This window comes from Homo sapiens, chromosome 9, assembly GCF_000001405.40.
Source record: "Homo sapiens chromosome 9, GRCh38.p14 Primary Assembly".
Taxonomy (NCBI): domain Eukaryota; kingdom Metazoa; phylum Chordata; class Mammalia; order Primates; family Hominidae; genus Homo; species Homo sapiens.
Window position 1 is genome coordinate 109,154,028 of NC_000009.12, and position 15,926 is coordinate 109,169,953.

Genomic DNA, 15,926 nt, shown 5'->3' on the forward strand with positions numbered 1-15,926 from the left:
TGTTCCAATAAGCAAGTTCTCAGCAACTCTACTTCATCCTGGCAGTTGGCCTGAGTTCCCAGTTCGGTGCTAGGCTCCCAGAACCAACCTCATCCCATGCTGCTCTGAGGCATCAGCAGCAGCTGAGCACAGCCTCATTCTCAAAGGATGGGTCACAGCTCTGCGAGGTCCTGGTCTGGGACCTTTTTATAATCTCAAGCCCTTCTCTTTGCAACTCCAGCCCCAAGGATGGTAACTTTCCTGAAGTTATTTTCTGCATGCTATCTTGGTACTCCCTTTTTGCTTCTCCAGTCCCGCAACTTCTTGCTTAGACAATTCCCTGGGCTGGTCTTTTGTTTAAACAGCTAGTATGATTTCCATCTTTCTTACTGGAACTTGATTGATGCAGACTAAATGGATTAACCTTTCAATACTGATACAATGTGTTTGCCAAAACTGTAGCTTATTAGTACTTATCCGAAGGCTAGAAAATAAAGACATTCAATAGGATCTATGTTTTACATGCATTAGACAATTCTAATGGGAAATTATTTTAATTGTACAATTCTAAGTACCCTAGGTACACAGAATTAAATTGGTATTTCTTGATTTATGGAACACTCATTATCAGTCTATACAAAGCCAATCTTATATTTTTCCACCAATCCATCACTAACTCCATTTTCTTCCCCACCTTAGACACGAGGTCCAGCATATTTCATGCATAACCTTCTCCCAAGGATGGAAGTTTTAACAAAAAATGAACACTCTGACACATACGTCTTAGAAAAGCAATATTTTACTATGATAAACTGAAAGGACACATTAGCGATAATGGATAACAGACAATTTGGTGGTGGGGTAAGGTTCTCATCTCAGTCCATTCTATGTAGCATGGAATTCTGCCTGTCCAGGGTAAAGTCCTGCCAGGTTGCAAAAAGTTTTTCATATTCCCAAGATTATCATCCTGAAACTCTTGCATGATTACCTTACACGATAATTACCAAACTGCCTTCAGCAGATCCTGGATCTAAGGTTCAGGTTCCAGGCACAATTTCTCACTCTGCCAACAGCACCCCTTGCCATGCTGCCCACAGCTCCACTGCATTAGCCTGTTCATGGCCAGGCACAAAGCCTGGAAATGCCCAAACAGAGCTGACCAGTGAGGGCCCACTGAAACTTACCATTCACCTCTATGTTTATTTTTACATAGGTGTGCTCTTAATATATCACTTGTGTATGTTTTAATTTGCATAAATGACACTGTGCAGTACATCTCATTCTGTTTATTATTTCCCTTTGGAAATCTATCCACATATGTAAGACTGAATATTATTCAGTCATAAAAAATGAAGTACTGATACATGTTACAACATGGACGTACCTTGATTATATAATCTCATTTACATGAAATGTCTAGGATAAGGCTGGGCACAGTGGCTCATGCCTGTAATCCCAGCACTTTAGGAGGCTGAGGCAGGCAGATCACTTGAGGTCAGGAGTTCGAGACCAGCCTGGCCAACATGGTGAAACCCTGTTTCTACTAAAAATACAAAAATAAAAAAAGCACACCTGTAGTCCTAACTACTCAAGAGGCTGAGACAGGAGAATTGCTTGAACCTGGGAGGTGGAGGTTGCAGTGAGCTAAAATTGCACCACTGCACTCCAGCCTGGGCGACAGAGCAAGACTCCATCTCAAAAAAAAAAAAAAAAAGTCCAGGATACACAAATATTGAATCAGAAAGATTCGTGGTTGTCTCGAGCTGGGGTGGGGAGGAGGGAGATGAGGGACTGCAGAGTAGTAGCTAAAGGTATAGGATTTCTTTGGGGGATGATGCAAATGTTCTAAAATTGATTGTGGTGACAGATGCACAACCCTGTGAATATACTAAAACCCACTGCATTGCACATTTTAATTGGGTGAATTGCATGGTATGTGAATTACATCTCAATAAAACTGTTGCAGAAAAAAAATGGATGCTTGCATCCCATTCCCTCCCTTCACATAACCCAGTTCTGACTCCAGTGTCATGTACATGATTCACAGAATCAAAATTGTATCCAGAACTCAGGATTCCCGGTAATAATCTAGCCTCCGGATCAGGGGCCGGCACACTAGAGAGTCTGGGATAGATGCAGAGGGAGTTCATTCACCGTATTTGTCAAATTTCTCCTTTTTAATTTCATACACAGTTTATCTGTATTTTCACTCTTTCCCTTGATTGGTCATGCCAGAAATTTGTGTATCTTATGAGAGTTTTCAAAACAATCCACATTCAGTTTGGGTCATCACTCATTTTCACATGTGTTTTCCATTTCATTTATTTCCACCCAGATCTGTTATTTCCTTCCTTTTTGTTTCCATTTTTAATTGAATGCTTAGCTTACTTTCTTTTTTTTGAGATGGAGTCTCACTCTGTTGCCCAGGCTGGAGTGCAGTGGCACGATCTCGCCTCACTGCAACCTCCACCTCCCGGGTTCAAGCGATTCTCCTGCCTCAGCCTCCCGAGTAGCTGGAACTACAGGGGTGGACCACCACGCCCGGCTAATTTTTTTGTACTTTTAGTAGAGACGGGGTTTCACCATGTTAGCCAGGATGGTCTCAATCCCCTGACCTCGTGATCCGCCCGCCTCGGCCTCCCAAAGTGCTGGGATTACAGGCATGAGCCACTGCACCTGGATGTTTTTTTTTTTTTTTTTGAGACGGGGTCTTGCTGTCTCACCCAGGCTGGAGTGCACTGGCACGATGACTGTAACCTCCACCTCCCCGGCTCAGGTGATCCTCCTACCTCACCCCGGGACTACAGGCATGAGCCACCACACCCAGCAACTTTTTTTAAATTTTTTGTAGAGACAGGGTTTTGCCACGTTGACCAGGCTGCTCTCCAACTCCCAGGCTCAAGCTATCTGCCCCTCTCAGCCTTCCAAAGTGCTTAAATTACAGTTGTAAGCCACCACGCCCAGCGTCTAATCTTTCTTATTTTCTGATAAATGTATTCAAAACTGTAAATTTCCCTCTAAGCTCTCTTTTAGATTCACGCCAGATATTTTGACATGCAGTGCTTTGATGGTCATTATATGCATATCTTAATTTTCTTTATGATTTTTCTCCTTAACATATAGGTTAATATTGTTTTTATTTACAGACATAGGTGATTTTTTCCCCTAAACTTTTGTTAATTTCAAATCTTACAGCATTGTAATCAGAAGACATCTGTATGAGGTAGACTGTTTTGTAATTTGTTGACTTTCTTATATTCTGGTATATGGCTGATTTTAGTGGATCTTATGTGCTCAAAAAGAGTATGATTCTGTATTTGTGGGTTTTACATATCTATTTAATTGAACTTATCATTCATATAATTGAAACTATCTATATATTTTATTTTTATTTTTTGGAGACAGGGCCTCACTGTGTCACCCAGGCTAGAGTGCAGTGGCACAATCATGGCTCATTGCAGCCTCAAATTCCTGGACTCAAGCCATCCTCCTGCCTCAGCACCCTGAGCAGCTGGGACCACAGGCAGGTGCCACCATGCCTGGCTAATTTTTAAATTTTTTTGTAGGGAATATGTTGCCCAGGCTGGTCTCAAACTCCTGGTCTCAAAGCTATCCTCCTGCCTTGGTCTCCCTATATCTTTTATTTTAAAAATGTGTTTGATTTTTCAATACCAAGGGTGGTATGTCCAATTACAAATGTTGGTTTATATTTTGCTGTACACCATTTCCATCAGTTACTGCTTTTATTTGGATACTATACTGTTACAGGTAAACATTCCTGATTAGTTTCTTCTATCGATATACGACATAATTTGCTCCTTATGTTTTATCTTCTATATTTTGTCCGATGTTACTGTCATCTTGGTTTTCTTATGGTTCATCTTTGCCTAAAATATCATTTTCCATTCCTTCAGAAATATTTTGTATAGTACTTATGCATATGTACGTGATCAAAACTCTTCTGTAATGTTCCTTTCTCATTGTGTCCTTGTCTGGTTTTGCTAATAAGGTTATGTTATCCTCATAAACAAGCTGGAAACTATTCCTTCTTTGAGGGTCCTTTGAAATAATGTGTTTAAGGTTAGCATCAGCTGTCACTTGAGTGTCTGGTAGAACTGAGCCTGGAGCTTTCTTGGTTGGAAGATTTTTTTAACTGATTCAATTTCTTTGATGGGTAAAAAATTTTTCAGTTTTTCTAATTTTTCTTGAGTCAGTTTTTGGTAAGTTGCATTTTTTTTCTAGGAATTTGTCCATTTAAATTTTCGAGTGTATTGGCATAAAACTGTTCCTTGTATTTCTTATTAGCTTATCTGCTTTCATTTTTAGTAAGCTCTAATTCACATACCGTAAAATTCACCTTTTTCAAGTATACAGATCAGTGTTTTTTAATATATTCATAAGGTTATGCAACCATCACCACTATCTAATTCACAAACACTTCCATGATTCCAAGAAGAACCCCTGTACCTGTTAGCAGTCACTCCCAATTCCCCCTCCTCTCAGCCCCTGGCAACCATGAATCCACTTTCTACCTCTATGGATTTGCTTATTCTGGACATTTTATATCAATGGAATCATACAACATGTGGTCTTTTGTGTCTGACCTCCTTCACTTAGCATAATATTTTCAAGGTTCATTACATGGTAGCATGTATTGGAACTTCACTCCTTTTTCTGGCTAAATAATATTCCATTGTATGGATCAACCACATGTGTATATCCATTCATCAGTTTGATAGACATTTGGGTTGTTTCCACTTTTTGGCTATTACAAATGCTGCTGCTATGGACAAGTTTTTGTGTGAACATATGTTTCCAATTCCCTTGGAGTAGAAATGCTGCATCATATGGTAATTCTGTGTTTAACTTTTTGAGAAACTGCCAAACTATTTTCCAAAGTAGCTGCACCATTTCACATCCTTACCAACAATGTATGAGAGGTCCAATTTCTTCACCTCCTTGCCAGGACTTGTTATTTTCCTTTTAAAAAAATCAACCATCCTAGTGGGTGTGAAATGGTATCTCTTTATGATTTGGATTTGCATTTCCTTAACAGCCCATGATGTTGGGCATCTTTTCATGAGCTTGTTGGCAATTTGTATGTCTTCTTTGGAAAAATGTCTTTTTAAAGCTTTTTTCTGTTTTTAAATTGGATTATCTTTTTATTAAGTTGTAATAATTACAATTTAATTAGCTTTTTAATCTCTGCTATGTCTAAGGTTCCCCCTTTGTCATTCTTATTTCTTTTTTTCTTGATTAATTTTGCCAGATGGTTAATTTTATATGTCAATTTGGCTGGCCAAAGTGCCCAGATATGTGGTTTAAAGAACCTGAATGTTTCTTTAAGCGTGTTTTAGGAGTGGATTAACATTTAAGTGGGTGGGCCGGGCGTGGTGGCTCACACCTGTAATCCCAGCACTCTGGCCAAGGTGGGTGGATCACGAGGTCAGGGGTTCGAGACCAGCCTGACCAACATGGTGAAACCCTGTCTTTACTAAAAATACAAAAATTTGCCAGGCATGGTGGGACCCACCTGTAATCCCAGCTACTTGGGAAGCTGAGGCAGGAGAATCGCTTGAACCTGGGAAGTGTAGTGAGCCAAGATCGCGCCATTGCATTCCAGCCTGGGTGACAGAGCGAGACTCTGTCTCAACAACAACAACAACCAAAAAAACATTTAAGCAGGTGGCCTTTGAGCAAAGTAGATTGCCCTCCATAATGCAAGTTGGCCTCATCCAATCAGTCAAAGGCCTGAAGAGAACAAAAAGAGTGACCTCCACCAACCAGTGTAGCAGCAGATGGCCTTTGGACCTGACTTGCAAACATCAGCTCATCTCTGGGTCTCCAGCCTGCCGACCCAACCTGCAGACTGTGGAACCTGCCAGCCTGCATAATCATGTGAACCAGTTCCTTAAAATAAATCTGTCTACATAGATACATATCCTATTGCTTTTGTTTCTCTGGAGAACCCTGACTATACACTTATCTGTCTTATTAATATTTTCAAAGAATCACTTTAGGCTTTGTGGATCCCCTTTACTGAATATTTGGTTTCTATTTCATTAATTCTGCTATATCTTTATTATTTTGTTATTTGTTTCCTTCTACTATCTTTAGATTTATTCCCTTCTTTCTGTCACTTCACAGTTTTCGGCCTTTCTTCTTTTCTTCTATCAGTTTAAACCCAACAGCCAACTGCCTCCAGGGGTTTCTCCCTGGATATTCCACAAGCAAATCAATTCCAGATGAGTTCCTCCGCCTCCCAAAAGCTATCGTCCTATGTTTCTTATCTTAGTGGATAATCCCACTAGCCACCTACAGTCTCACAATCCTGAAACCTCAGTCCTAAGTTTCTCCCTTTCCCCAACCTGGCACATTTACTCAGCCATCACTTCCTGCTATTCCTTTTATTTATTTATTTTGAGACAGGGTCTCACTCTGTCACCCAGACTGGAGCACAGCCTCGACCTCCTAGGCTCAAGTGATCCTCCTGCCTCAGCCTCTCGTGTAGCTGGGACCACAGCTGTGTGCCACCATGACTGGCTAACTTTTTTATCTTTTTGTAGAGATGGGGTATCACTTTCTTGCCCAAGCTGATCTCAAACTCCTGGGCTCCTCTCAAAGTGCTGGGATTACAGGCATGAGCCACTGCACCTGACCACTTCTTGTTATTCCTACCTCAGAAACCAGAGCCTGACTTTTGGCTGTAGTTCTGTCTCTTATCTGGTTCTCTGGCTTCTCTCTCACTCCTTCTGCCCTGCCGCCATCTTTCTGAGAAAGAAATCTTTTTTTTTTTTTTTTTTTTAGACAGAGTCTCGCTCTGTCGCCCAAGCTGGAGTGCAATGGCATGATCTTGGCTCACTGCAAGCTCCGCCTGCCAGGTTCAAGTGGTTCTCCTGCCTCAGCCTCCCGAGTAGCTGGGATTACAGGCACCCGCCATCATGCCCGGCTAATTTTTGTATTTTTGTAGAGACAGGTTTCACCATGTTGGCCAGGTTGGTCTTGAACTCCTGACCTCAGGTGATCTGCCGCCTCGGCTTCCCAACGTGCTGGGATTACAGGCCGCCTCACCCGGCCTGAAGCAGAAATCTAATTCTGTCATCCCACTGCTCCTGACACTACTCCCCAGCATTCCATCTCCCCTACACCTACCTGTCCTCCTTAGTCTTGAGACATATGTGTTGAACCACCCAGACACAACCAGCTTTTCCCTCTTCCCTTCGCTCTGTCCGTTCCCCCATTTTTCATCACTTAAATTGTTTTGGCTTGTTCCTTTCTCTCCATTTTCCATTTTGATGCTATTTTTTTCCCTCTAAAATAAGAACCTGAATGAGACTACATTAATATTGGCTTGGGGGTTTTTTAAAAAAGGGTGTATCAATTCTTCTCCTTCCTTTTCTTTCCTTCTGCTGACATGGACTCTATAAGCTCTTTCAGTAAATTCTGTTTTGGAGAACAATTCGAGCCATTTTTTTCTCTCCCTCCTTTCCTCTCTATTATTTTATAATCCCTTCATTTATTGCTGAACCATGAAAGGTGCTTATTTTCTTGGTTGATTTTTTAGGTTCTCAATTGGGCTTTGTGGTTTCCATTCTTGTCTAATTCAAGAAACTATCTGTTCCTTTTTTGCAATCCCTTTTACCACACTCTACTGGGTGGTTAATGGCTTCTGGTTTGCTATTTATTGCTTCTAATTAATGGCTTGGCTCACAGCCTTTAGCTATTAATTTAGTACTTGATTCCTTGAAGTTTAAGTTTTAATTGTCTGGCCACACCATTCAGTTTCATCTGAGAACTACTGCATCAGTCTCTTTCCCGACGGCCTCAATTTTTGTTCCTTCTCTTTTCAGGGTCGTATTATGAAGTAAAAGTATCGAGGGGTTTTATAAGGTGTAAAGTTCCACACAGAAGCAAACTCAGCCTTCATGGTGGCACTCCACTGCTTAGGAAACTGTAGTCCCTAACTGTCTACCATATCAGTTCCAAACTCTTCCTCTCAAGTTCACTCACAAAAATACCCAACTCTAGGCCAGACATGGTGGCTCACGCATGTAATTCCAGCACTTTGGGGGGCCAAGGCAGGCAGATCTCTTGAGGTCAGGAGTTCAAGATCAGCCCGGTCAACAGGGTGAAACCCTGTCTCTACTAAAAATACAAAAATTAGCCAGGTGTGGTGGCTCATGCCTGTAATCCCAGCTACTTGGGAGGCTGAGGCATGAGCATCATTTGAACCTAGGAGGTGGAGGTTGCAGTGAGCTGAGATCGCACTACTGCACTCCAGCCTGGATGACAGAGCGAGATTCTGTCTCAAAAACAAAAACGAAAAAGCAATTCTACCTGTCCAATCCATTTCCTAGTGCAAGTCAACAGGGACCCTCCATTCCAGATGGGCAGGACACCTTCTACCACTTTATCCATTAAGTCCATCAACAAATCCACACAGTTCTCTGCTACTTTCTAGCTGTGTGACTTTAGCTAAAATAGTCAAACTTTCTGTGGGTCAGTTTCTTTATCTCTACAGTAGCAATAATAGTAGTATTTAACTCACAGTGTTGCTATAAGGATTAACATTCATATGGACAAGGTACCCTAAAGCGGGGCCTGCTGCGTAGTAAGCACATACTAAGAGTTGCTCTAATTGGTATTATGATCAGGCTAGATTCATGAAGGATACAAAGATAAATTAGATGTAAATTGTTACCCTTAAAGGACTTCCAGATTAGTAGAGTGGTAAGTTATATATCCACATACCGTCCAAGGTAGATGGGGGAAGGATATAGGAAGATGACTAAACTTCTGCCCTTTGCCCCATGTTCTGTCCTTCTTTCTACCTCTCTGGCTCTTTCCCAAGAAAAATTGTGATCAGAACTCAATGGTCAGAAAATCCTTGATTGAGCCACATTTTACGAGTAGTCAGATGACTATGCCTTAAAGATAAGTGACCATAAATGATGTTCTGTCTTTTCCTTCTTAGGCAGGGTATGGCTCCAAGGGTCAGGCGGTTAACATCATCCATGTAGCTGGCTGGATTAAGACTGAGGGTCTGCTTCCCAAACCTGGCCATCTTAGCAGCAGGGAGAAGCAAGCTTCATTTGGGACTTAACCCTTAGCCAACATCCAACTCAGTTTTGTTTGTTTTTCCCCAAAGAACCCTCAGAAGTGAGCATTTGCCCATAATCAAATGGTAATCTGTTTCACATTCTATCATTGCTCTGAATATATAGACTCTGGGTTAAGAACCTCAAGGGAAAGAAGTATGAGTGGTAGGATTCAAGCACTAAGATCCTATCTGAACTCCTGACCATAGACAGCAAAGAGGGTCACGGCAGACTGTGTGCTGTGGAAGAATATCTTCTGTGGGAGAAGGAGAAAATCAGGGAAGGCTTCCTGAAAGAGGTGACATTTGAGCTGAGACTGTAAGCATGAGTAGTATAGGCTTAGACAGTGGGACCCTCAAAGAATTCTGAACACTAGCATAACTTAAGTTTTTAAAAATGACCATGTTAGGGGGTGATCATTTTCTTGAGACAGCAAATTAGCCAGCATCCTGCCTCTGGATTTGAGGGTTTTGGGCAATCTGGATACTGGGGAAATAGTCTCTGGGTAGGGTAGGTAATGGTCAGTAGGCTCTCTCTCAGTTTCAGTGGATTTCCATTCCCACCTCCACTATTCAAATTCCTTTTTTTCTGATTTTTGAACTCAGTTTCATGACTATTTGAGACATAAGAAGGGGGTACCCTGCACAGAGGGAACAAGTAGCCTAGTCACTAGAAATGGACAACCTCAAGTGTATTGATAGAATAAGTCAAAGGCATTACCGGCACTTCTTCACTTGCCACGTCCTCCAAGGTCAGTCAGGTTCCCTCCTTCCTTCTCCACTGAATCTGTCCTAGGAGAGTTCCACCCATAACCTCTCATCTCCTGAAACCATCGATAATTTTGAGCCTTCATGCTATCAGGCCACACCTTGGTAGGAAACAGGCTCTTTTCCTTTGCCTTCTGGGACACCCCTCTCTCCTGGTTCTTCTTCCCTCTCTCTGGCAACCCCTCCTCAGCCCCCGCTTTTAAGGCAATGTCACTGTTTATTTCTAAGCGTCTTGGGAAAGTCTCTATTCAGGACCCACAGGGATGAAGCCTAGGCCCAGGGTAATCTAGCAGAGGCACTGCCTCTGATAGCCCCACGCCACTTACATCTCAACTAGCACCCACCGGATGGTGGTAGAATCTGTATGCAAAGAGGAAATGAAACTGTCAGAGAGAAGAGGGTAGGAGAAGAATGGAGAGTAAAAGCTCAGGGTGAGGGAAGGGGAGATATGGTTGTAAAAGGAAGTTGAGCCAGGGAGGACATTTCAGATAAAGCAGTTGAATATTCATTCAGGGAGCAGGTTGATTTTTTTTTTTTTTTTTTGAGACCGAGTCTCACTCTGTTGTCCAGGATGGAGTGCAATGATGCAATCTCAGCTCACTGCAACCTCCCCACCTCCTGGGTTCAAGCAATTCTCCTGCCTCAGCCTCCTGAGTAGCTGGGATTACAGGCGTGCACCACCACGCCCGGCTAATTTTGTATTTTTAGTAGAGACGGGGTTTCACCATGTTGGCCAGGCTAGTCTCGAACTCCTGACCTCCTGATCCACCCACCTCAGCCTCCCAAAGTGCTGGGATTACAGTCGTGAAGCACCACGCCCGGCCCCATCACAGACTTTTGAGTGCAATGCCAACAGGTTAGAGGCAGACTTCAGGAGGGTTAAACCAGTTTTATGTGCAGAATGGTGGGGGCGCGAAGCAGACACACTAGGGATCGGTACAAAGCCCTGCTGCCTGCTATGTGATCACCTCACCTAAATGCCTTCCCTCTTCTGTGTCACTGAAGTCTTTCCTACTTCATGGCTTGACTCTATAAAAGCTGTCCTTGATGGCTGTGGCCCACCTGATGTCCACATTCATAAAACTTTCTGGACTATACAATGAACATATCATTCTCTCTGCAGAGAGACTCAAAGGACGTACAGAATCTGAGCTTATCCTTCATTTGTTAGATGCATGAGCCCAATCAGAATACAAGTTCTCACATACCACATTTAAGTCACCTGGCAGCACTAGGCTGTGTACAGTGTAAAGATACATTAGATGCTTTCAGAAACAGACGGGCTTCGGAATATTTATTCTTTTCCAGAGTGACAGATTCCGCCACATGGCTCTCCAGCTAGAAGACTACATTTCTTAGTCTCCCTTGAAGCTAGGTCATTGTAACTATGTTTTTGCCAAAGGAATGTGAACAGCAGTAATGTGGGCAGCCAGCCTAAAAGGTAACTACTTGCCCTGAACTTCTCTTTTTCTTTCCCTCAATCTTGAACAAGGACATGCAACCTGGCTTCTACTGTACTGATGAGGACAAAGCCTCAGGGGGATGGCAGAGCAACAAGATGGAAAGAACCCGGGTCCCTGAATGACCTTGCGGAACAGAGTCATCCCACCAGCCCCAGACCAACCAGACTCTTATCAGAGAGAAAAATAAACTAGCTTATTTAAACCACTATATGTTAAAATCTCTAATTCAGCAGTTAAGCCTCTACTTAATACATTTCCCCAAATCCATTCTCTCCATCTTCTTTAATACAATAATTCTGATTTTTGAACTGGGCATATTATGTCTCAGCTAATAGGCTCTATTTTACATCCTCCTTTGTACCTATGTGCAACCATATGATTAAGTTGTGGCCAAAGAAGTATAAAAATTGTTATATGAAACTTCCGAGTAATCCCTTTATAAAGTAGTCAGTGACCTTCTTCCTGCTTCATTTTTCCCACTGTCTAGAATGTGAACATAATGGCTGTAGCTCAAGCAGTTATTTTGAACCATGAAGTTACATGCTAAGAATTGTGAAGAAACAGAAGGGCAGGATCCAGAGACACTGGTGACCAAGGAGCCTCCAGACCAGTTCTGGATTACCTATTTCTAGTTTTCTTTCTGTAAGAGAGAAACTTCTATCTTGTTGAAGCTATTAATGTTTGCTTGTTGTATACAGCTGAACTTAATCCTAACAACAGACACATCCACTAACAGATATGAGCTCCTGGGACTCAACACTTCAAACCCCAGCTTGATGGTTGGATATCCCTCTTAGCAGAAGAAAAGGAAAGTCACTACTTCCCAAAGTTGCTTAAAGAGGCCAGTTTCCATTCCTTCTGACCACCATCCGCTTGGCTTTTGTGCTCGTTGAAGCAGCTCTACAGGGAGGCCCTTGGCTGACAAACTCCCAGTCTGCGGGCCCAGCAGGCCACAACAATGGTGGCTCGCACTAGGGGACCATAACATATGTGGCGTCATAAAAGAGGAGGGATGGGAGTGGGGAGGCTGATGTGACCCAGCTCTGACGGGTCAGTGAGCAGGAACAGAATGCTACGAGGTGGGCGCTGGTCACTGCAAATTTAAGTCAATACAGACAGGGAGGAAATAAGGCAACCTCTCTCTTTAGGTTGGGGTTTTTCTGCTTCCCCCTAGCTGCCCTGGCCAGATGGCGGCCTCCTCCCCTATAACCCAACCCCAGGCGGCAAAGGTGGAAGCCAGATCTAAGAACTGGGGGAGCTTAGACTCAGCACCCACCCCTATCCACAGCCTTGCAGAACTTGGATGACCCCTCCCTCTCCCAGCCTCACTCTCCCCATCTGTAAAGCGGGCGGCAGGCATTGACAGCTCTTTGGGCCTTTCCTCCAGGCCGGCGGAGGCCTGGGCACTGCGCTCCCCATCCTGGCCTCGCCTCTGCAAGAGCTGCCTCCACGGACATCTTTTCCGACCCCCTCCCCCTCCCTCGCCCCCTCTCCTCGTTCCCCCGATCCTCGGTCCCCCACCCCCGGTCTCCCCTCCCGCAACCCCTCGCCCTCCCGCAGCCTCACCCTCCTCCGACAGGTAGCGCAGGTCGTAGAACTCCCCCGCGAAGGTGCCGTAGGAGGAGTCGTGGCGCGGCACCGCCTCGTCGGCGCCCGTGTCCCCCCGCGCGCGTCCCCGGGGTCCCCGGCCCCCCGGGCCCGCACCGTCGTCCGCGGGGCTGGCTGCGCAGGCGGCGGGCCCCGTCAGTAGCAGCAGGAGCAGCGACGCCCAGACCCCCGGGTGCTGCCGGGGCGGCCGCGCCATCCGTGCGCACAGATCCCGCAGCCAGGCCGCTCGGGCCGCAGCGGGGGCGCCGCGGGCGCGGGCCGGGACTGAGCCTCCGCCGAGGCCACCAGCACGCGCCCGCGCAGCCGCGGAGCCTCCCGCACCCCCGCCTCCCTGCCTCGGTCTGCGCATCCTCGCTCCAGCACCGCAGCCTCCCCCTTCTTCTTGGAACCCCCCTCCTCCCCGCACCGATCTCTCCTTCCTAGCAGCTTCCCTTCTACCGTCCTTCTTTCCATTCTCCCCATCTCCCCGACTTCCCTCCACGCAGGCAGATTTGGCCCTTCTGGCCCCTTGCTACTCCGGAGTGTGGTCCGCGGACCGGCAGCATCAGCATCACCTGGAAGCTTGTTAGCATCGCTGAGGCCCCACTCCAGACCCATGAAGCGGGATGTTCATTTCATCAAAATTCCCAGGAGATCCCAATGCACGTTCAATTTATGAAACGCTCCTCTAGAGAGTTTACCCTGGACACACCTGGTCAGTGCTGCCTCCTCAACCTTGTGCCGGCACTTTTTGGTTTACATAAAGCACTTGCTAGACCTATTATTTCTTGGATCATCACAGAAGGAACTTGAAATTGCAAGACCCCCACAATAGAGCTAGGTAAACTGAGGTGTTTAGAGACAGAGAAAACTGGATTCACCTGCTTCCTCTCCAGGCTCTTGCGGTGTGTAATCAACAGAGGCTGGTGCCAGTAGGTAACCTGTTCCCCTTCAAAACTAGGCTTCTGGTTTACTCTCTTTCCCTGCAGCAAGCACGCGCAGGCCTTGGAAGGCCCACACCGTATCTGAGGGCCATGCTGAATTGTTGATTTTTCTCAAATCCATTCCTGCTGCTTGCAGTTCACTTTTGGCTATTTACTCAGCCATCCATTGATTCACACCAAGCATTTGCTTTATGGCAGGTCCCAGGGTTCTCTTTTGATGATGGTTGTTGGGGTGATATATTCGAATTGCTAAGCTGTTTTCCATCAGAGAGGCGGACGCAATTCCTTTCAGGCTGGTGTTGCAGAGCCAGCATTTTAACCTGCTTTTCCTATTTTATTATTTTATTTTATTGCATAAACAAAATAATTATGGAGGCAGAAAAGCATAGAGGTCCCAAATGCAGACCTAGAAGTCAGACTGCCTGATCTCTCATGATTAGTCATTGACATGATGCAATGAAGATTAGGGAAGATCATAGAGGTAAGGATCAATAGGGTTCAGTGCTGTAAGTGGCATGCACACATGTACACAATATTGTGAAATGTTAATATTCAAAAGGAAACTAGTGATCTTAACCCTTTATGGCCTGATTGGCTGAGAGATAAGGGTAGTGCTGTTGAAACAGGGGAGACATGATGGGGGACTTAGAAGTCAGGTATTTTCTATTAGGTATCAGCTAACAGTGGGCTGTCCAACTGGAATTTAAACATATTAATCCTGATGGCTGAATTGAGGTGTAATTCATGAAAACCTTGGGCTTCACTAGGTCCCCCAACATAGCAGTTGTCACAAAAAATAGATCAGATTATTTGAAAAAGGTAAGATGAACTATGATTACTTTAAAAACTCAAGAGACTTCTTCCCAAAAAGCATAGCGTGGCAATGCATAACATTCTAAAAAAGCTGATCCAACAGATTGAAAATCTGTTAAAGTGTAGTCCTTCAAAAAAAAAAAAAAAAACAAAAACAAAAACAAAAACCTTAAACCTTTCTTAAAAATTAAAATTTCTTTATTTTCTTTTCTTCTCTTTCTGTTCACCAGGGAAGGTATGGTCAACTTAGAATGGACCAAAGTTTAGCCAAAAAAATAAAGCATTAGACTTTTGATTTCAGTGTAGATTCTCTGGTTTGGGAATACAAGCTTTTACCTCTTACTTTCCTTTTTATTCCCTTCATTTTGGTTACTGAAATTAACAATAACGGTGCCCAAATAGAAGGCAAATGAAAACCAGGCCATTCTTCTCCGAGTAAATTAATCTGATATAAAAACACGTGGGCAGCCGGGCACGGTGGCTCACGCCTGTAACTCCAGCACTTTGGGAGGCCGAGGCGGGCGGATCACAAGGTCAGAAGATCGACACCATCCTGGCCAACACGGTGAAATCCCGTCTCTACTGAAAATACAAAAAATTAGCCGGGCATGGTGTCGGGCGCCTGAAGTCCCAGCTACTCGGGAAGCTAAGGCAGGAGAATGGCGTGAACCTGGGAGGCGGAGCTTGCAGTGAGTCGAGATCAGGCCACTGCACTCTAGCCTGGGCGACAGAGCAAGACTCCATCTCAAAAAACAAACAAAAAACAAACAAAAAAACAAAACAAAACAAAAAAAACCACCACCACGTGGGCTTTCTATATTGTTTTTATGGGGGTATTTGGGTATTTTGGGGACGGTTTACAACTACAGCCTAAAATGAAGTTTGCAGGTAAACTGTGGATTTCAATTCTCTCTCTACTCATGTAGACTCACAGGGGGCCACAGATAGGCTTCAGGGGTGATATGAGGACCTTATGAAAGTGCTGGAATAATGTTGTGATGTATGGGTTTTTCTAGGGAGAAAACCCATAGCTTTTTTTATGAATTATTTTTTCCATGTTCAACTTTTTTTTTAATTTACTTTAAGTTCTGGGATACATGTGCAAAATGTACAGGTTTGTTACATAGGTATACATGTGCCATGGTGGTTTGCTGTACCCATCAACCCGTCATCTAGGTTTTAAGCCTGCATGCGTTAGGTATTTGTCCTAATGCTCTCCCTCCCCTTGCCTCACCCCCCACAACATGCCTCGGTGTGTGATGTTCCCCTCCCTGT

General features: G+C 44.3%; 1 protein-coding gene across 1 annotated transcript in view; it reads right to left on the reverse strand.

The window, feature by feature from the left end:
- Positions 1-13,222, reverse strand: part of FRRS1L (ferric chelate reductase 1 like) — a 36,957-nt gene extending 23,735 nt beyond the window's left edge. The window contains exon 1 of the mRNA NM_014334.4: positions 12,874-13,222. Within this exon, the coding sequence (NP_055149.3) occupies positions 12,874-13,111 (238 nt within the window). The 5' untranslated portion in view covers positions 13,112-13,222. The remainder of the gene's footprint in view (positions 1-12,873) is intronic.